This window comes from Homo sapiens, chromosome 3 (genome assembly GCF_000001405.40).
Source record: "Homo sapiens chromosome 3, GRCh38.p14 Primary Assembly".
Classification (NCBI taxonomy): Eukaryota; Metazoa; Chordata; class Mammalia; order Primates; family Hominidae; genus Homo; species Homo sapiens.
In genome coordinates this window covers 18,172,654-18,194,420 of record NC_000003.12, presented here as the reverse complement: position 1 = coordinate 18,194,420, position 21,767 = coordinate 18,172,654, and the positions used below count along the sequence as shown (strand labels likewise).

At 36.8% G+C, this 21,767-nt stretch overlaps 2 long non-coding RNA genes across 2 annotated transcripts in view; both read right to left on the bottom strand.

Annotated features, from left to right (window-relative positions):
- Nucleotides 1-21,767, bottom strand: part of BALR6 (B-cell acute lymphoblastic leukemia associated long RNA 6) — a 306,371-nt gene that overhangs the window by 74,502 nt on the left and 210,102 nt on the right. The window lies entirely within an intron of this gene.
- On the bottom strand, nucleotides 393-15,879 carry LOC124909351 (uncharacterized). The gene is made up of 2 exons (XR_007095842.1): nucleotides 7,281-15,879; nucleotides 393-6,910 (listed from the first exon to the last, which is right to left on the bottom strand). It is a non-coding gene; the product is annotated as an uncharacterized LOC124909351 (long non-coding RNA).

The window sequence follows — 21,767 nt, the reverse complement described above, 5'->3', positions numbered from 1 at the left end:
AGGGTCCAGTCAAAACTACCAGTGGAACCACGAAGCCAACCCACAGAATGAGAAATAATAAATAAGATATACTTTTTGAAGATATTAAGTTGGGGCTGGTGGATGTTTGTATGGCAAAAGATAACTGAAACAATTGCTGATTTCTAGAGAGGGAAACTGGGTGGATAGAGGACAAAAATTAGGACATAGTTTTACTTCTCACTTCATGATTTCTTTGTAACTTTTGACATTCAACCATTTTTATATATTACCTTTTTTAAAAAAACTAATTTTATTTTAAATTTTAAAAAATGTTATTTTGCAAAGCAACAAAAAGAACATATAAATGTTCCCCTAGGAAATTGTTTTAATTATCTATTCCTAGTGCTGCTAAAAAGGTAGAGACAGAGAGAAATTTTTCAGAAATATTTTATTACATGAAATTTGAATCAATTTTCTTTAAGACATGTGTGTCCTTTGATCTAGCAATTTCTTGTCAAGAAATTCATCTTAAAGAAATTATCTAAGCTTTGACTAAGTGTATTTACCCAAATGCACTTATAACTCCTTTACAATAGCTAAAAATAAAAATTTTTTTAAATCTAAATGCTAAACAATAATAGGTTAATTACTTGATTGTTACTTCCATATAGTGGAATACTATGCAGCCATTCTAAATCATATGGTGAAACCTCACTTATTCACTTGAACTAATTATGGTATATTGTTAAGTTTTAAAACATAATAAAATGATATATATCACATTATACCACAACTCAGAGAGCCATAAACCACTGGCTATATATGCTGCATGAAAACATAATAGACTTACCAGACAAAAAAGAGTTTCCTTTAGACATTCAAAGATTTCTACATTTAGAATGAATTATTTTATAATAAGAATATGTATTTTATATATAGTAAACAGATATTTAGTCCTGCATATAAACTATGCCAACATAATAAAAGTGACTTGCTTGAATTTAATAAAGTGGGGAAACAATTTATATAAATAATAAAAATGAAATTTTTAATTTTTTAATTCAACTATTATGCATCCTGAAAAGTCCTCAACACACACATTCATGACTATGGTATATGGTTATGTATGCATATATATATATCCATACATTTATTCAATACACAAGGCATATGTCAAAATATTCATTATTAAATAATGTTTAAAATAATTTTACTCCTAAAGCCATTGCTACATCATGCTTCTTAGATTTAAGCTATGAGTGAGACCTGTAAGTCAAGAACAAGGGCAGGAATTCTTAGCAAGTAAGTTTATAGGCTTTTCTAACATCACTGCTCACCTACATGGCAGCCATTCTTTCTTTTTTCCTCCATAACAGAATCCCTCTTCTATTCAAGTACTAGATATCCTTGTGCTTCAGAAGGCTGTCCAATGGAATGAACAACCCCAGGCCCAAAAGATGAATACTGATCCATTTAAGACAATCATGGTAATTTTATTCCTGTTGTCAGTTATTAGTTTAAGAATAAACGCTTGACAAAAGTTCTTGCCAGAGACACATGAGTGAAGTCTAATAAGAGAGCTTTAGGAGAAGACTTTCTTGTTCTCAGAGATGGACCCAAGGAAGGGTCACATTCCTTTTCCCTCTTCTAGCCTTTCAGGGTTGTTGCCTATTGTGATGGCCACCACCTTGTGACCGTGAAGTGTAGCTGATATATTGAGGATGAAAGAATGGAAAGATGGAAGGAAGCTAGGTCCCTAATCACATTATTGAATTCTTACATTATTAAGCTCTGGAAATTTCTTACCTTTGAACTTCCTACCAACCGAGAGAATATTTTTTCCTTATTTTTTAAGTCACAGTGGGTTGGAGCTTCTGTTAAATGCAGGTGAGAGCACTCTGACTGATACAACCTCTAATAGAATCTATACCTCATTTAACAACTTTAACTTTTCCTAAAGTCTTGCTGCTGTGTTTAAGTAAAATAATACTCTTATGAATTTTAATGAGGAAAATTATGGTGCATTCCATCCCAACCCAATGCATTCAAATAATTTCACAGATTGAAAAATCTATCAATCAAACAATGAGAACAAGTTCATATAAGTAACAATATAATAGTAAACAAACATAGCTTGTACACAATATAAAGATAATGAAGGTTTATTGTACTCATCAAGGGTGATAATCAGTGGCAGTTATTGGAAAGAGATGTAAAGTTGTTAGAGGTAGCATCCCCTGAAACAGAGATTAGCATGCCAAAAGTGTGTTAAGGAGTGGCCTCAAGATCAGTATACTGTGAAATGGAAGAAAAGAAAGCAAGATTGGGCAGAGTGGTCTCAACAAAGTCCTCAGCCAACTCCATTCATAGCTCTGACGTTGGGGCAGCCTTTCCAAATTGTTCTGAATTGAAATGAAGAAGCCAGAATTTTACAGGCTCACTTTAACCAGTTGTGGGATTCGGGCTGCCCCCTGAAAATGCCACGGTAGTTCTCTTAAACTTAGGGCAATTCCCAGAGAGGACTGCACCTTGAAAGCTGTCAATGGATTGTACTTCTAAATACTGAGTAATAATCCTTTGGTACTAAAAGGAAACCTAGTCTGTGTATCACCACATCAGCTCTACAGTGGAGCCTTTTTTGGAAGGTAGTGGAAAGGCAGGTGACTGATTTTCATGTGCACAATCAATATTAGAATCATACAGCCTTGTCTTTTTCTTTAAAGCTTTGACCAAAAAAGGTAAAGTTGACTTTTGAAATACACAGAAATAGCATCATGGAAATGCTGCTACATCTTCCTCCCTTTTACTTGGCTTACATATACAATGCAAAACCTGGGGACTCATTCAAGCATGACATGAAATTCAAATTTGTTTCACATGATATTCTTTGATTAGAAGCTATTGTGTTGAGTAAATTAGAAGTATGTCCTTGCCTGAAATAATAATGTGAAAAATGATTTCTTATGGTATGTGTTACCTAGTGGATTTGGGGAATTAAATGTCATTATACAAAAAAAATTGTTTGATAAATAGCATAAGTTTTCAAGTGTGGTTATAGTTAAAATTCATTAAATGAACAATTGTTATATGCAGTAAGCTTATGTATAATATATCCTAACCACGTATCCATAAAACGTACCTCCCAATTGTCAGGTAATTGAATTTTCTTTACTTTTCTACAGTTGTCCATAAATCATTACTCACTTTCATGCTGATGGTATTAAAGGTACAGAGGAAGGCACTGCCTTGAAAATGTTCACTTTAGTTGACCATTTATAGAGTTGTCATTCTGTGGGATTTTTAAGCAGCATAGATACATTCAAATATAACACCATTAGGGTCAGTCTGTGACAAAACCCATATCTTTATATTATCTTGATACTAAACATTGTAAATACTCCCAAATTATCTAAAAAGAGGGCCATGCAAGGCCAACAAAAGGATTTTTTTTAAAAGAGTCACTTACCTAGCCACAAATATCTCTCTTCTGCTATCACAGACATAGGCTCTGGGTGAACCACTATACCCAAAATGCTTCCCAGAAGCAGACTCTGCTGGTGACCTACCCACTTCTTGACATAGATCAAATGGTAACTCTTCTGTGGGAAAGGGCTGGCTGAGACAGCAACATGAAGACCAGAGTCTAGACACCAAGATTGTAAAGAATGTTGGAAAGAGAGAATTTACATAACAGCCCTGTAACCCAAAAGATCCTGTCTCTCTTTCATAAGACATAGTCAAGCTCATTATGGAAGCAACCTCCAGCAGCTAATTGGTATTGCAGTGCTTCTGAGCTGTGAGCTAAAAAAGGAGGGAGATGTAAAAGACAAATAAAGTGACATAAAGAAATTCCCATCCTGGTCCTATCATTGTCTTGTGAGCTATTTCTATACTGTATGTACATAAACAGCTCTTCTTGGGTGGTGGTTTAATGTCTCTATACCTTCCATTGCAATTACACTGAATGGAGCTGCAACAAATCTTCGTAACGCCAATCTCATCTTTCCACCTCATTGACAGCTCAGGAAATGCATCTGAAATTCATAGTAGCCTCATAGCCTATGGCAAGAGAAATCCATGCTGCTAAAATTTTATTTTAGAATTCAAGCTGGTTTTCCTCAGTTTAGGATGCTCCGTTTTTTAATCTTTTGCTGCCTACCACACTGTATCAAAATAACCAGCCAATATTGTTCAACTGTCAGGGGCCTCAGCTGCCTTTGAATTTTATCAGTACAAATAAATACTGGAACATGTTAAAAATAATCCCAATAGATTAGCGTTAACAGTAATAGAATTAAAAGCAGAGGGGAAAATGTGTATAAACTTTGACTTCACTGCTCTCTCCCTTCCTTTGCTGACTTAAAAAAAAAAGGTTGAATAGATATTCAGACTGATTTCATGTTTAGGCTGATAGGGATGCTAGGCTGGGTCCCAAATTTGTGCAATGTTCAAAAAGAGAGAGATTTTAAAATCCCAGAAAAAGAGATATTTCCAAATTAATGGCATTGCCCGAATGCCTTGGCTCCCTGCACCCCACCAGGAAGGTTTATTATTTTCTGGTAAAATGTTGCTCGGATGGGGAGTGGTAGTCAGCGATGCGTCAGAGCTGCTCTTTGAACACATTAAAAAGCTGAATGCACAACAAAGAACAGATGTTCCAGCATGCCTTATTTATGCACCCATCAGCAATCTTCCAGTGACCACAAAACACAGCCTTTTTTTTCCCTCCTCCTCTCCATAATATTATGTTCTGATAAACTCACCCTCTTTATTAATTTATTTATTTTTGGCCCCAACTGAACTCCTGGGTAATTGTCTATGTGTGTGTGCACAAGTGTGTGTGCGTGTGTGCATATGTGTGTGTGTTATTTGAAAGTCTGCCTCCATCAAATCTGAATTCTATTGAACTGTGGAACAGGTGTGGATTCTGCAATTAGATCACATTTCAGAGAGAGAGACACTGAGGGTAATAATGGCGGTGAATTCTTCAAAGTCGAATGCAGCACCATAGCGACCAGCAACAATGAAGGAGAGGTATTAGTATTAGAGGTGATTATTTTTAGTTTATGGGATCATCTGATTGAATACAGCCATAAGGCACTGTGTACATGTACTTGGGGCTCACCAGCTGTAAGACAAACTTGTTTTACTGGCACTTATCTGAAATGCCCCATTCGCCCACCCTCTGCTCACAATTGGAATGGAAGTAGCGATTAGGAAGTGAGATATAATGCAGATTAAATATTATGATGGACCAAGATACTGTTGGATTATTAAACTCCATTTGCTTTCACTGGTTTTAAAGGCGTAGCACTTTTATTTAAACCTCCGGCTCTAGATCTCTAAGCTTTAAAAGGTGGGAGGTGGAGGAGTGCTAGGGAGGGTTAGGTAGAGAAAAATAATTTAGAATCCAAAGAGAAGCAAGAATATTTCCTCTTCCTACACAAGAGAGCTATATTTTTCAGTGAGTGAATCTAATCTGTGACCTCAATTTGAGCTTCAGAAAAACATGATACATTAATACAGAAAATACTCACCCCCATAAATTGATTTAATAGACTGAAAGTAAATAATGCAGCCAATTCTCACAACACTATTTGGTCAATTTTGGGAATTCTGGTTCTAGGTGGCATTTCCTTAATATATATTTTCACGAAATGGGAAATATTTGGGACCAGACTCAGTGGTGTAAAATCAGCCCTTGGGAGAGTTCCAGCTGTTCCCTGGGGCATCTCAGAATGGTGCTATGGGCTGGCTGGCAGCAGCTGCTATCCCTGAAAGAATAAAGGAAGCCGGACAACAGAGGGAGGGGTTTGCACAAAATGAAGTCGTGGACATTCTGTGGACACATCAGAAATCTGGGCTCAAAAGAATGAGATGTGGGTAGCTTGGTAGGGTACAGATTACACCATCCCATGGGCACAGGCCTAGGAGCTCAGAATGAGAACTTCTGCTCTTTGTCCAGTGGTCTTTGAACCCAGGATGGCTCAGGATCTGGGGTCTGCATCATGGGATATGGGACCACAGCCAACATTTTGCCAAGACCAGTATTCTTTTTCTGGTGCCAAAATAAGCAATTCTGATGAAAAATCTGAGAGATGGAAAATTGTTCTATTGTCCACAATGCTAGTTCATACTGAGAAATCTGTTACAATGACAGGAATTTTCTGTTTTGTATAGGTGGCCTAACCAAGATTCCTGGCAGAAAAAAAATGCATTTTCTAGCTAAGAAGCAGTAAAGCAGGAGTGGTGGCAGATGAATACCAATCAAAACGTGTAGCTTTTCTGTTACTAGTCAATCCATTAGTTCTCCAGCTACCAAATTCTACTCAGCATTTGTTATTTCTCTCAATCAGACAAAATAAAATTCTCATATTATAAATAACCTGAATCTAGCCAAATGGCTTTGACCTTGGGTAAATCACTTTCCCTTTCTGGACTAGGTTTCTGTGAAATGAGGGTTGGAATTCAAATTGTAGTTTTACAAACATTAGCACTAAAACCCTTTTACAAACAAAGTGTTAGCTAAGAATTGGAGGTGCTATATTCAAAAGTGGGCATTGGGGCCCCCATGCTTCTCCTCTGTTGCAAATGAGTTGTCTCTACTAAAGTCCGAGGTTGCTCAGAACCAGGTACAACATGTCTTAATTAGATAGTATTGCACATCTCTTCCAAGAGAAACTGTGATTGAATATCTGGGTCTTCCCCATAGTATCCCTACATAAGGTTAGTGGCAAGGAGATGCTATGCCAGCAATCTCACCCGCCACACCCAAGATGGCATCTGCATCCTCTATGAGTACAAGTTAATAGTCTCAGCTGTGAGGATTGTCTCCATGAGATCAGGCAACCCAATTGGTTAGCTCTTTTTCACTATATAGTTTGAAGTCCCTGTCTTTTCCAGTTGTCCTGAAGTCACAGGTTTTTGCTTCAGTTTTCTTTCTCTCTCTCTGGCAATGAAACAGAAGTTTTCAATGAGAAAGGAACCTTTCATTTGTCTTGGCTGTCACTTGCCATCACTCATTTTAATAGTCATTATCAAGAGCATAAAGATTAAGTGGGGTTTTGTACAATATTAGTTTTCTATTTTTTCTCATTCAAGCTCCAGATAACTCTGGTTCCACTCTGTGTCTTGTCCAATCATTACATTGAGTGTTTACCTTTAAATATTTGAATATATTTTCTTACACTTTTGTTTGTTTTGCAAACAGCCTTTTACAAAAATACATAATAAAACATAGTCTAATTTTTCCCATGCTGGCTCAGTAACAGTGTCTTTCTTAGCTGAAGCAACAGGAAAGAAATGGCAATATTACTTACTGTTATTGACATGATGATGACTCCTTTGCAGATGTTACAATGTCAATGTTTTGTGGCAAATTTGCACTGTAGTTTTAACATGTATTAACACACCTTGCCATTTAGTCATCTCAGTGAACACTGACAAGAGCCATGGGTACCCTGTGTTGGCATAATGCAGGAGCCTGCAAGCTGTGGAAATGAAGTCAGACCATAGAATTCTGGTTGAAAGCTTTACATCATGGGACCAAGTAATCCAAAGAAAATGTAAATCATAGCCTATGAAACAGAAGAATTCAGTACCTCTCTGGTAATTGGTGTAGTAATAAATCAGGATTGGATTTAGCTTAAAATTATATGTTCTTTGCCTGGTTAAAAAAATCAGATTTATGAAAGAGTTAGTGGTTTGTTTGAAAAGCAAAGAAACACCTACTTAATTTTTCGTCTAAATTTTACAAAGCCTACTCACCTTTTCAAAAAAAAAATTAAGACATAATGATAAAGCAACATTGAAATGTTGCTGTCAATGCCAACTTAATGCATAACAAAGTTAATGGCTAGTTATAGATACCTATCTTTCAAATGGACTCAAATTGGAATTTCTGAATATTGCTTTCGCTTCTACACTTTATTTCTTTCAAGCCTGGGAGAGAGAGCCTCAGCTCTAACATGTTCTGCATTTGGCCAAATACAATACATCCAACCTAAATACAAGGTATCCATAACAGAAAATTAGGCTTTGACCCCAAATTCTTAAATTGGAGTAAGCCATTTCATTCATATACACTGAGAACAAAATCAACAAAATAGGTGGCTAGAGCATTTGGTCAAAGGGTATGTAAATAAATGTAAATTTTTTCTCTAGCTTTTAGTGTGTTTAATAAATTATGTTGGTGACCCTCATGGCAGAAACCTGACCACATGGGTCATGCTTACCTTCCAGCCCTTATTTCCAATCACTGACATTATAGTTAGTAAGAACCTATTTTTCTCTTAAAATATATGTAGAGGAAAAAATGAGAATTTTCTGTATTAATGACACAATAATGGCATTGTGAAAACAAAATGGTGATGACATATCCACTATGGGAATAATATGCCCTCAGGCTAACAAAAGCTGCTTACCTGTTTAACTTATTAGAGTATTTTATAAACATATTTGAAATGAGCAGCTCAGTTCATCCTGAAATAAAACAATGCTACATTTTTTATGCATACGAAAAGAGAAGATGTTAATTGCTCACCTACAATCCACCTAAAAAGCTGATGGAAAAACATCTACAATAAAATCAGAACAATATCATTTCCAGTACCTGCATGATACTCATTTTGATGAGTCATCCCAAAAGACTTTTTAAAAGAAAATAGAGTTTTGATTCTATGTTTGCCATTAACCTGCTATGGAGTTGGGCAACCACTTGGTTCCTCAGCTCCCTTCCATCAAAAAAAGTCAGGACCAATTATTTGAGTGGAGTGTAAAGTGGATAGGTGTGAGTTAAAGAACTTTGGAATTGCAGAGATAAGAGGTTTTCTCTCATGGAATGCCATTATTATTAATATTATTGCCATCATCATTATTTATGCTCCCAGCACACGTATTGTGAAAATCCGTTATTCGCGTAACTGCTATGCCCTCACCATGTCATTTGCAAAATCACCATGTTCTTCTCACAGAAATGTCAGTGAAATGTCATTTTTACAATAGCTGCATTATGAATCTGCTATAACTTGAATTGCTTTACAATGAAAATGCAATTTCTTAGCAATTAAAATTATTCCACCCACCCCAGTCAAATAATAGAAAATCGCCTCCCTGCCCAATGTTGCTTATAGTGAACTGCAGAATACTGCAAATTGAACAGAGCATGGCTTCTCACATGCCAGGGAAGGTCTACATCTTGGCCATACCAGTGGTTGCATTATACTATCTGTGATTATCTGCTATACCTAATGTAAATTAGTATAGCATATTACTAAAACTCTTACAAGATTGAAAGATTGCACTCAGAGTCTTTGAGTTTTCCCAGGATCCTAACCACATCTAAGTTTGCTATAACAATGCTAGATCAAGGTATGTAAAAAACTAATGTCAGTTTTCATTATAGGAAGAAATTCCTTTTATAAATGCAAGTCATTATCTTTAGGTCTACTTATATCCCCTTCTGGTATTAATTGGAAATTTTATTCTTCATAACTGCCTCTCAGAAACTGTTGACTTGACATGCATTAGTATCATCACTAATAAGAATGTAGCAGTGTACAAAGCATAATACAAGTTATCAGCATGCTGCTCATGAAGTGAAATTATTAATGGATATAGGGTCATGTTCGAAGAGATTTTTAAAGGCTCACTTTAAAGGCTCATTCACTTGTTTTCAAATGAAATCTTACATGGAAACCCAAGATGTAAAAGGCTAAAATGTAGGGCAACGGAGATTGTTCAAGATGAGAGTCTGTACCTAGACCTCTAGAAATAGTAGACAATATGTGTTTACAAATATACCTTCAAACTGAAATACAGCTACGATGAAAACTAAAGAGCAAGAGCTGCCATGGGATAAATATAAGTGTTAATAGCCAAGAAAATGCATGTGGGACAACATGGCATTTCTAGACTTCCTCTAGAAGTGCAGGTGGTATGTGTGCTTGAGCCAAAGAGTCAGGACAATGTTTTTAATAGCTGCCAAATTAGGAGAAATAGGGCAGCCTCCATGCATGAAACATGTTACAGGTATACCCCGTCTCAAAGCACATCCAATCCATACCCAAAGACCAGAGGAACTATGCTTATATATTGAAGCCAGAATCCTCATGGAAGCAAAGAGGTATTTTCAAACAGAAAAATGAGCAGACAATGAAAAATTCACAAACGTTTAAGGAAATCCAATAACATAGGAAAAATAAACAGGATTATGCCTGTAATCCCAGCACTTTGGGAGGCTGAGGCGGGCGGATCGCTTGAGCTCAGAAGTTAGAGACCAGCCTGGGCAACATGATGAAACCCTATCTCCACTAAAAATACAAAAATTAGCTGGGCTTGTTGTCGCATGCCTGTAGTCTCAGCTACTCAGGAGGCTGAGGCATGAAGATTGCTTGAACCTGGGAGGCGGAGGTTGCAGTGAGTTGAGATCACACCACTGCACTCCAACCTGGGTGACAAAGCGAGACTCTGTCAAAAACAAACAAACAAAACCAACAACATAGGAGAGATAAATAGAAGAACTAACTCTTGAAGAAATAAAGCTAACAAAATAAGGAAAAAAGTTGGAGGTGCACTTTAAAATAAAGATATCGGATATCATTAGAGAGATTGCAAGTGATGTTACAAATGTGAAAAGTGAATATTTACTTTATTATTCTGTTCTCATGCTGCTAATAAAGACATACCAGAGGTCGGTAATTTATAAAGGAAATAGGTTTAATGGACTCACAGTTCCACAGTTCTCTAGGGCAGGGGCAAAATGCCACCAGTCTCTTTGCTATAGCATAACAAGAGTCATCTTCACTCCAGTTACCAATAAGCTCCTCATCTCCATCTAAGACCACCTCAGCCTGGACTTCAATGTCCATATCACAATCAGCATTTTGGTCAAAGCCATTCAACAAGTCTCTAGGAAGTTCCAAACTTTCCCACGTCTTCCTGTCCTCTTCTGAGTGCTCCAAACTGTTCTAATCTCTGCCTGTTACCAGTTCCAAAGTCGCTTCCACATTTTCAGGTATCTTTACAGTGGCACCCCACTCCCAGTACCAGAATCTATATTAGTTGGGGTTCTATAGAGGGACAGAACTAATAGGATAGATTCATATATGAAAGGAAGTTTATTAAGGAGTATTGACTCACACAATCACAAGATGAAGTCCCACAATAGGCCCTCTGCAAGCTGAGGAGCAAGGAAGCCAGTCTGAGACCCAAAACCTCAAAAGTAGGGAAGCTGCCAGTGTAGTCTTCAGTCTCTGGCTGAAGGCCTGAGAGCCCCTGGCAAACCACTGGTGTAGCTACAAGAGTCCAAAAGCTGAAGAACTTGGAGTCCCAGATTGAGGGTGGGTCTGCCTCTCCTAATCCACTGACTCAAGTGTTAATCTCCTTTGGCAACACCCTCACAGACACACCCAGGAACAATATTTTGCATCCTTCATTCCAAGCAAGTTGACACTCAGTATGAACCGTCACAATGAACAACCCCAAAAATCAAAAGTATTATTATCAAAATTAAAATGTCAGTATATGAACTGAATAGCAGAATCAACATGGATAAAGAGCAAATGAGTGAACAGTAAGATTATAATTAAAAAAAAAGTTGAGATTTCAGACTAAAAGGTCTCATTGAATGCCAAACAGAATAAATTAAAATAAATTATTTTATATACCTAAATACAAAGAGTGAAACTTTAGATCACAAGAATGAGAATAAAGCTTCTGAACAAATATTGCATGATCTCACCTATATGCAAAATCTTAAAAGGTCAAATTTATAGAAGTAGAGAATACAATGGTGGTTACAAGAAGCTGGGGTTTGGGCTGTGGAGTGGGAAAGGGCAGATGTTGGTCAAAGGGCACAAAGTTTCAGTTAGACAGGAGTTCTAAGTTCTGGTGATCTATTGCACTGCAATAATACAGTGCAACTGTATTATTAACTACAGTTAATAATAATGTGGTATACATTTCAAAATTACTAAAAGAGTGGATTTGAAATATTCTCACCACAAAGAAATTATAAGTATGTGAGATAATGGATATGTTAGTCTGACATGGTCATTCCACAAGGTACACATGTATTGAAACAGCACATTGTACCCTATGAATATATGCAATTATTATTTATCAATTTTAAAAAGAATACCGATTCGAGATGGGTTTGGGAGAGATAAAAATAAAAACAAAATCAGATTTAGAGTCTGAGTTCTCATTGGCAAAAGTGGATAGTAGAAGAGAATATAGGATTAATGTTTTGAGAGAAGATTGTTTTGTAGAAAAGTCCTGTATCTAGCGAAACTAGCATTCAGTAGAAAGACAAAATTAAAATAACTATTATTCTAGACCACTTTGGAAGCAAAATGTGTTCTTTCAAAATAAAACATAAGCCCCAGAAAGAGTAAAATGTTAGACATAAGAAATGGTAGTGAACAAAGAAAACAATCACACTCCTATTTAAATCAAAAAATGTTTTGATATACATTGAAAAAGTAATTAACAATCTGGAACTAAAATCCCGAATGATCTCAACATGGAAGGAATTGTAATAAAGAGTGTGACTCTATTTCTGATATTTTGATACAACAATCCTACCGTTTCCCCTTTTCCTTCTTCCCAGCATCTGAGCAGGCTGAAAACAGAACTCTGATTGTCCCTCCCTTGGTGCTAGCTGAAGTGCAAACCACATAAGCCTCTGCCAGTGTGCAAGAACCCTCACTGCAGCCCCAACCCCAGTCACAGGCTGAGATTGTCTCTTTTCCCTCCTCTCTCAAGCCAGATTTGGACCAGCTAAAAAGTCCATGCTGCTCTCCCCCAGAAAGCCTTAGTATGTGAATAATAAACCTTTTCATAACATGTTGGTAGGTATGTGGTATCATCAGTCTTTATACACACACAAAATTTTGGATGGGAGAGCTGTGCCACCTCTATAAGATGACCACAATAGCTGTAGAAAGAGGGATGAGAATATGATGAAGGAAATTAAATAGAGCATGGTTAACTTTAGAGACTGATTTTTTAAATCAACACATTTAAATTATAAGTATTACTAAAGTAAATCCTAGAAAGTAAAATACACAAATTCAAAACAATTAAATAATTGAATAAAGAAAACGTGTCCAATTCAAATAGGAAAGAAAGCAAAAAGAAAAAAGAAAGACTTGTAAAATAAAAAAAAAAAGTTTAAAGAATGTTCAAAAATAAGTTCATAAGGCAATAAGTGTGAATGAATCAAAACCCGTATAAACAATTAAGGACTCAGACTGGAGTAAAAAGGAAATTCACCTCCATTAACAACTAAGTGACACTTAGGCTGGGATAAAAAGAAAATAAAAACATTAAAAACTAAATAGCTCTTAGGTATGGGTACAAAGGAAATCCATCTTTATGCTGACAGATACCAATAAGACCAAATTTTATTTAACAGGCCAAAGATACATTATGGAAATAGATGTGCCATGGCAAATATCAACAAGAAGAAAATAATGTGACATATTAATATTAGATGCAACTTTTATTGCAACTTAATAGCAGCTTAATAGCAAAGGCCTTATAGAGGATACTTAATTTTGAGAGAAGCTGTAATATACCAAAAAATAACAGTCATGCATCTTTATGAACAAAATTTCACAATAAATGTCAAAGATAATTTTAAAAAGTAAAGAGCACACACACTGGAGTCAATACACCTGAGTTAAAAATACCAGCCCCGAAGCTTAGTAGCTTCAGATTTGGGGAAACTATCTCATATACAGTGCCTCATTTTCTGTTTTGGAAAATGAGGTAATAATAGTACCACTTCATATAGTTATTATGAGGATGAGTTAAAATATATTAAGTGGATAGATGGATGAATAGAGATAGCTAGAATGTTACAGCAAATTGTTATCAGGGGTTACCCACAGGGTGTGAAGTAAGAAGGGGTGAGGAACAGGGATACCCTTCTTAGTTCACACATTTGCATTTTTATTTTAAAAAGCACTTATTATTTATTTTTAAAACAATACAAATTTACAAGAAATAGCACAGTGCATATATCATGAGGAAGGGGCTCAAAGTTCCAAATCCTTTATCTCCTCCTGCTTCTGCTCATCCCACATGGGAGGTCCTCAGCCTCTGGGTAAGTGAAAGAGAAGTCAACACCACTCTCTCTTTTGATGAACACACCTCCCTTAAGACCATAAGATTTGAAGGACCAAAACACTAATCTGGGTAACTGGGACAAAAGTTTGATTTTGTTGTTGTTGTTGTTGTTGTTTTAACTGATATACAGTATACAGTGAACAAGAAAGTACTTACTGTTCCTTTTTGCTTGAATGCCCTGATTAAAAACCCTCCCTCCCTATGTCACTCTGATGGTAACACTTTTGCAGTGGTGGTTTTGAGGAAAGAGAGAGGTGAAATCAAAATTGTTTTATACGAAATGAAGGAAATCAATTTTGACACGACACGAATCTAAATGAAACATCTTTCTTTAGAAGTAGGTAAGATGTGTGAAATGACAGCAGAACTGGAGGTGGAAGAAACTGCTCTAAAAGAACTGAAAATCTGAAAGAAAATTCTCATGTTTGTGGATGTAAGAGAACAGTGATTTAAGATTCCATGGAAGCAAAAATAACTGATCCAAAATCAATAGTGGAGGGCAATCCAACAACCAAGATTTTGGAGAATTTAAAGGCAGAAACAGAAAAAAAAAACTGTGTAGGCTCCAAAATTTGTATAAAGGAAGACTGAGGATATTTAGGGATGACAATCTGGTTGAAAGGGGAGGCCAAGAGATTTATCATGAAGCTGTGTTTGCAGAGCAAGCACATGGTTTTTAATTGGATTTATGTTTATTTTTAGTGGCTGAGAGAGTGGGTTTGACGGTGTGTGTGTATGTGTGTGTGTGTGTGTGCGTGCACGTGTGTGTGTGTGTTTGATGAGGGGAGATTGTAGTGGTCACTGCCTTCCCCAGCCAACATTTGGGTTTGCAAATGAAATGGAAGGTACAGTGAAAGTAATACATTACTAAGACAAATACTTTTGCTATTTTTTCATATACACTATGTCTGGTATATACTGAAGAAAACTAAATGAAGAAGCCAGTGGTAACAAGTTACCCTAGATGTCCAAATATAAGGCAAATTTTCCCCAAAATGTAGAGAAAAAGGAATCATTTGATATTCAAATGATAATAAAGATTCTCAGGTTAGAAGTTTCTACTATCACTCTACTTTGAACAACAAAGTCCAGTTTGTGCAAGGACACCATCCATAACATAGCTAAATCCAGGGAGGAGAGTCGGTGTAATTTCCCCAGAGGTCTCTGCCAATCCCTGGTGGCCCATTGCCTGGACTTAATGGGCCAAGCACATGGCAGGCAGAAGACAAAGCCTGTAAGGTCACACCAGAGAGCATCACTTAAAGTTTAGGCCCCTGAAGGTTGAATTAGGGAAAATCTATCCCATTACAGAAGACAGAGGGGGTAATTGCCAGTCTTGGCTTTGGATTTTTGCTAAATAGTAAAATGAAAATGTCTCTCCTGAGAATGGTCAACTACAACACTATACTTACTCATGTTTGAGAACATTTCTGAAAATGACTGGAAATTTATTTTAAAGTTGTCCCAGATTAGTAGTGTCTATAGGCACCAAGCACAAGCATATACACACACCCCATTAAAGACATTTTAAACCCAGATGTAAAAAAAAATTCCAAGAAACATTAATTGATAAACAAAAATTACAACACATATGAGACAAAATACCCTGAGTAAAAGTAAGAAAAAAAAAAACAAAAAATGGCATAATCAGACATCTAAAGACCATAGATATTGAAATTATCATATACACAATAGAAAATAAATTTATATGTTTAAACAAATTTTTAACAGGTGAGAAAAATATAACAAAGTAGTAACAGTTTCTCAAAAAATAACCAAGCAGGTTAAAAAAAAAAAAAAAAAAACAGCCAAGCATGGTGGCTCATGCCTGTAATCCCAGCAGTTTGGGAGGCCAAGGTGGGCAGATCACCTGAGGTCAGGAGTTCGAGACCAATCTGCCCAACATGGCGAAACCCTGTCTCTACTAAAAATACAAAACAATTAGCTGGGCGTGGTTGCAGGTACCTGTAATCCCAGATGTTCCAGAGGCTGAAGGAGTAGAACCACTTGAACCCAGGAGGTGGAGGTTGCAGTGAGCTGAGATCATGCCACTGCACTCCAGCCTGGGTGACAAGAGCAAAACTCTATCTCAAAAAAAAAAAAAGAAAGAAATTCTTGAAGCTAAAAATATAGCAACTGAAATTGAAAACAATTTCTAATTAACAATTAAATTCAGTTTTAATGGAGTGGATTTAGTATGGCTGAAAAGAGATTAAAGAACTGTAGGACAGTTTAGAAGATATTGTTCAGGATGTAGCAGAGACAGAGTGGAGACAGTGTATCATGATATCTAACTAGAGTACTGAGAAGAACTCATATTGAAAATGGGGAGAGATAGCTTTCCAAGACCCAAGGGCTGAGCGTTTTCTAGAATAGATGAAAGATATCAGAATCAGATTTGAGAGCCCATAGACTCTCAACAGAATAAATGAAAAGAAATGTTCACTTAGATCCCCCTACAATGAATGAACAAAACTCTAAGATAAAGAGAAGATAATAAAAGTAGCCAAACAGATTCTATAGAAGCACAATAATTAGAACAACAGAGAACTCCTTGACAACAGCAATGGAAGTCCAAAAACAGTGGAAAAATATCTTCAAAGTGCTGGGTGCAAACCAACCGTTAACTCAAAATTGTATACCTAGTTAAATCAATCTTCAAAAATGACAGTTTAAAAAAGACGTTTTCAGACATTAAAAAATGTATTAACCTTAAGCATACAATTTCCTGAGTTTTTACAGTTGTAATTTAAGCCCTTATCAAGATATGGAACATTACCACGCCCCTAGAAAATTCTATCATGCCCTTTCCCAGTCAATCCCTACTCCCCCGCCCCACCCAATGGCAACCTGATACATTTTCCACGATAGACTAGTTTTACCAGTTCTAGAACTTCATATAAATGGAATCCTACTCTTCTGCACTTTTTATGTAAGGCTTCTTTCAGCATAATGTTTTGAGATTCACTCACATTATTGCATGAATTATATGTCATGTCTTGTTCTTGTTGAGTGTTATTGAATAGTGTTCCATTGTATGAATAATAAACTCTTTATCCATTTTTCTACTGATGAGCTATTTCCAGTTTAGGGCTATTATGAGTAAATAGATATAAACATTTTTATACAAGTCTTTTTGTGGATGCTTATTATTTATAATCTCACATGAAAATCATTTACAAAAAATGATTCTGTTTTTTGAACCCAGCCTGAAAGAGCAGCTTATATTTGATGCAAATATAAGCTAATCCTTTTTGTACTTGTTACAAATCAAGATGCAACATAATTCACTATCAAACATATGTATTCTCTGAATAACACAATTGAAATATAAACCAGTAATTTAAAAACACACATACAGGTTGAGCATCCCTGATCTGAAAATCCAAAATCTAAAACGTTCCAAAATTCAAAAGTTTTTGAGCACCAATATGTCACCTCTAGTGAAAAATTCTAAATCTGACTTCATGTGATGGGTTAAAACTTTATTTCATGCACAAAATCATTACAAATGTTACATAAAATTACCTTAAGTCTATGTGTATAAAGTGTATATGAAACATTTCATGTTTAGACTTGTGTCATACTCTCAAGATATTTCATATCTATATGCAATAATCTAAACTTAAAAAAATCTGAAATCAGAAATACTTCTGGTCTCAAGCATATCAGATATGGGTTACTCAACCTGTGCTTGTACATTTAAATATACTTCTAAATAATTCATGATTAAAGGAAAAACCATAATGAATATTAGAAAAAAACTAAATAACTTTTAAAACTGCATATTATAGTATTAGATTCAGCTAAAATTGGTCACAGAGGAAAATTTATAGGCTTAGATGTATGTATTAGTAAAAACAAGCTGAACGGACAAGGCATCCAACTTAAGAAGTAAGATAAGAACAACAGAATTAAGCCAAAGAAAGTAAAAGAAATAAAATTGTAAAAACAGGCACAAAAATTAATGAAACAGAAAGCAAAGATATACTAGAGAGATACCACAAAAGCGAAGTTGGTATGTAGGAAAGATTAATAACATTGACAAACTTCTAGCCAGATTAAGGAAAAAGAAGAAAACGCATAAATAAGTATTGTTAGCAGTAAAAAGTGAGCATAATTACCAAAGAGATTAAATTTTTAATATAAGTATAATAAAATTTCATAAAAGTAAAATTTAAATGTAAGTAAAAAATACATTCCATGCATAAATACACACATCTCCAATATGTAAAACTTATGACACGACCTAAATTTTCTTTCTAGAGACATGCTTTGTTTAAAAACATCTCTGCATAAGTCACAAGTTTGTTAGATATATTGAGTTTTTCAGTTATTGCAGAGGTGAAATAAAAAATAACAATCCAGAAATTTCAGGAATTGAAGGGTTGAAAGTTACAGCTATTGCTCATCTACAGATAGTAAAACATTTTCAAATTTGCGCACGGCCACAGGGATAAGATGTGGATATTAAAGCACAGTTTGGGATCAAATATTCAATCAAAGCCTTGGCTATACACCTTTGTTGAGAGCTCTGATTGAATTAACATGGCTCTCTATAAACTCTTTCAATTGGACAAAATGGCTCAGTAACTAAGACTAAGGCGAAATACAACAGAATCCCAATAAGCTCAAAGGACTCATCATTATGTGTTTAGCATTAAGCCTCTAAAAGAAAATTGAATCTTTTTTCTTTTTTGAGACAGTCTTGCTTTCTTTCCCAGGCTGGAGTGCAGTGGCTGTAGCCTTGACCTCCAGGCTCAAGTGATCCACCTATCTTAGCCTCCCAAGTAGCTGGGACTACATTGTGAGCTGCTATGCCCAGCTAATTTTCTTTTTTAATATTTTGTAGACGCAGTGTTTCCTATGTTGCCCAGGCTGGACTTGAATTGGTGGTCTCAAACTCTCCTTCCACATAGCTGGGACTACAGGTGTGGGCTACTGCACTGGCTGGAATCATTTTCTAAAAGTGTTTTTATTTCATTTCCAATAGTGCCAACAGCCTGAATTAAAAGAGACTATGACTGTAAAGAAGAGATTGTAACTGTTCAATCCAGCTGGGCTGCAAACATTTTATTGGCAGGAAGCAGACTGAGAAAGCCTTGCTTTTGGATTTGGCTGAGGAAAATGATGGAATATGAAGGATGATCTAAACAGTACAGTTGAGAGTCAAGGAGAACAATTGACAGGAACAACTCCCAGGAACCATGACCAGAGTCTAACAGAAAAATACCTGCTAACCCCCAAATAAGAGGCCTTACCATATTTTCCCAGAGGAATTTCAGAATCTCTATGAACTAGTAACAATAAAGAACCTCCCATTCTTACCCTTTCTAATGAGGGCGTTTGTTTCAGTTCTACTGACTCTGTTCCACCATTATAGATGGGAGATGGGGACAGAAGCACCTAAGTTGTCCTTTTTGTACTTAGGTTTCAGAAGTAAGAGAAGTTGAATTCAGACATGATGTAGATCACTTGATCTTGGAGTTAGAACCTAATGCTATAGTCAACTGTGACATTGAATGCTGTGGTAAGCAGTTTAGTGTATCTTACTTGCAGAAGAGAGAAAATTTTTGTGACCAAAATGGATTGCCATGGTAGGCTGCTATTTATTACTACTCATTATCACTCTATCAGTGTCAAGCTCTCTGGGATAGAGTGTAATGTCTCACATCATTGACTTTAAGCTTGTCCGTGTAACTGCTTTGGCCAATGAAAATATGTGATGTTTGTCACATTTGGTTTGCATCATGCCTCTTATGACCCTCAGTCATGAAAACTACATGTGCCAAATATAAGCTGCTCTTTCAGGCTGGGTTCTAGAAGGAAAAGGCATCTGGAGAAGAGCCCACCTGAATCCCAACCAAAGCTATAATAATTACAATATAACATGTAATATGACCAAAAAATAAATGATATTGCAAGCTACTAAGAAACTAGTTATTACTGCAACAATAGCTGAATAAAATACTCCCAACTTATGTTATAACATTAGTATAACCTTATCAAAACTAAGAAAGAAAAGGAAAAAAAGTGTAGATTTTCTCACTCACTGATATGGTTTGGCTCTGTTTTCCCACCCAAATCTCGTCTTGAATTGTACTCCCATAATTCCCACGTGTTGTGAGAGGGACCTGCTGAGAGATTATTTGAATCATGGGGGCGGTTTCCCCCATACTATTCTCGTGGTAATGAATAAGTCTCACAAGATCTGATGGTTTTATCGGGGTTTCCACTTTTGCATCTTCCTCATTTTTATGTTGCTGCCACTATGTAAGAAGTGCCTTTCCCCTGCTGCCATGACTCTGAGGCCTCCCCAGACATGTGGAACTGTAAGTCCAATTAAACCTCTTTTTCTTCCCAGTCTCAGGTATGTCTTTATCAACAGTGTGAAAACAGACTAATACAGTAAATTGGTACCAGTAGAGTGGGGCATTACTGAAAAGATGCCTGAAAAGATGGAAGTGACTTTGGAACTGGGTATCAGGCAGAGGTTGTAACAGTTTGGAGGGCTCAGAGGAAGACAGAAAAATGTGGGAAAGCTTGGAACTTCCTAGAGACTTGTTCAATGGCTTTAACAAAAATGCTGATAGTGATATGAACAATAAGGTCCAGGCTGAGGTGGTCTCAGATGGAGATGAGCAACTTGCTGGGAACTGGAGCAAAGGTGACTCTTGTTATGGTTTAGTAAAGTGACTGGAGGCATTTTGCCCCTGCCCTGGAGATTTGTGGAACTTTAAACTTGAGAGAGATGATTTAGGGTATCTGGAGGAAGAACTTTCTAAGCAGCAAAGCAATCAAGATGTGACTTGGGTGCTGTTAAAAGCATTCCATTGTAAAAGGGAAACAGTACATAAAAGTTCAGAAAATTTGCAGCCTGGCAATGCAGTAGAAAAGAAAAACCCATTTTTTGAGGAGAAATTCAAGTTGGCTGGAGAAATTCGCATAAGTAACAAGGAGCCAAATGTTAATCCCCAAGACAACAGGGAAAATGTCACCAGGGCATGTTATAGGTCTTCATGGCAGCCCCTCCCATCACAGACCTGGAAGCCTAGGAGGAAAAAATGGTTTTACGGGCCAGGCCCAGGGTCCCCATGCTGTGTGGAGCCTAGGTACTTGGTGCCCTGCATCCCAGCTGCTCCACCCATTGTTAAAAAGGGCAAAGGTACAGCTTGGCTCATGGTTTCAGAGGGTACAAGCCCCAAATCTTGGCAGCTTCCACATGCTGTTGAGCCTGCGGGTACACAGAAGTCAAGAATTGAGGTTTGAGAACCTCTACCTAGATTTCAGAAGTTGTATAGAAACACCTGGAAGTCCAGGCAACAGTTTGCTGCAGGGGCAGGGCCCTCATGGAGAACCTCTGCTAGGGCAGTGCAGAAGGGAAATGTGGGGTCAGTGCCCCCACACAGAGTCCCTATTGGGGCACCCCCTCATGGAGCTGTGAGAACAGGGCCACCATACTCCAGACCCCAGAATGATAGATCTACCAACGGCTTGCACCATGCACCTGGAATAGCCGCAGAAACTCAACGCCAGCGCATGAAAGCACCCAGGACGGGGATATACCCTATAAAGCCAAAGGGGCAGAGCTGTCCAAGACTATGGGAACCTACCTCTTGCATCAGCATGACCTTGATGTGAGACATGGAGTCAAAGGATTTCAGACTTCCGTG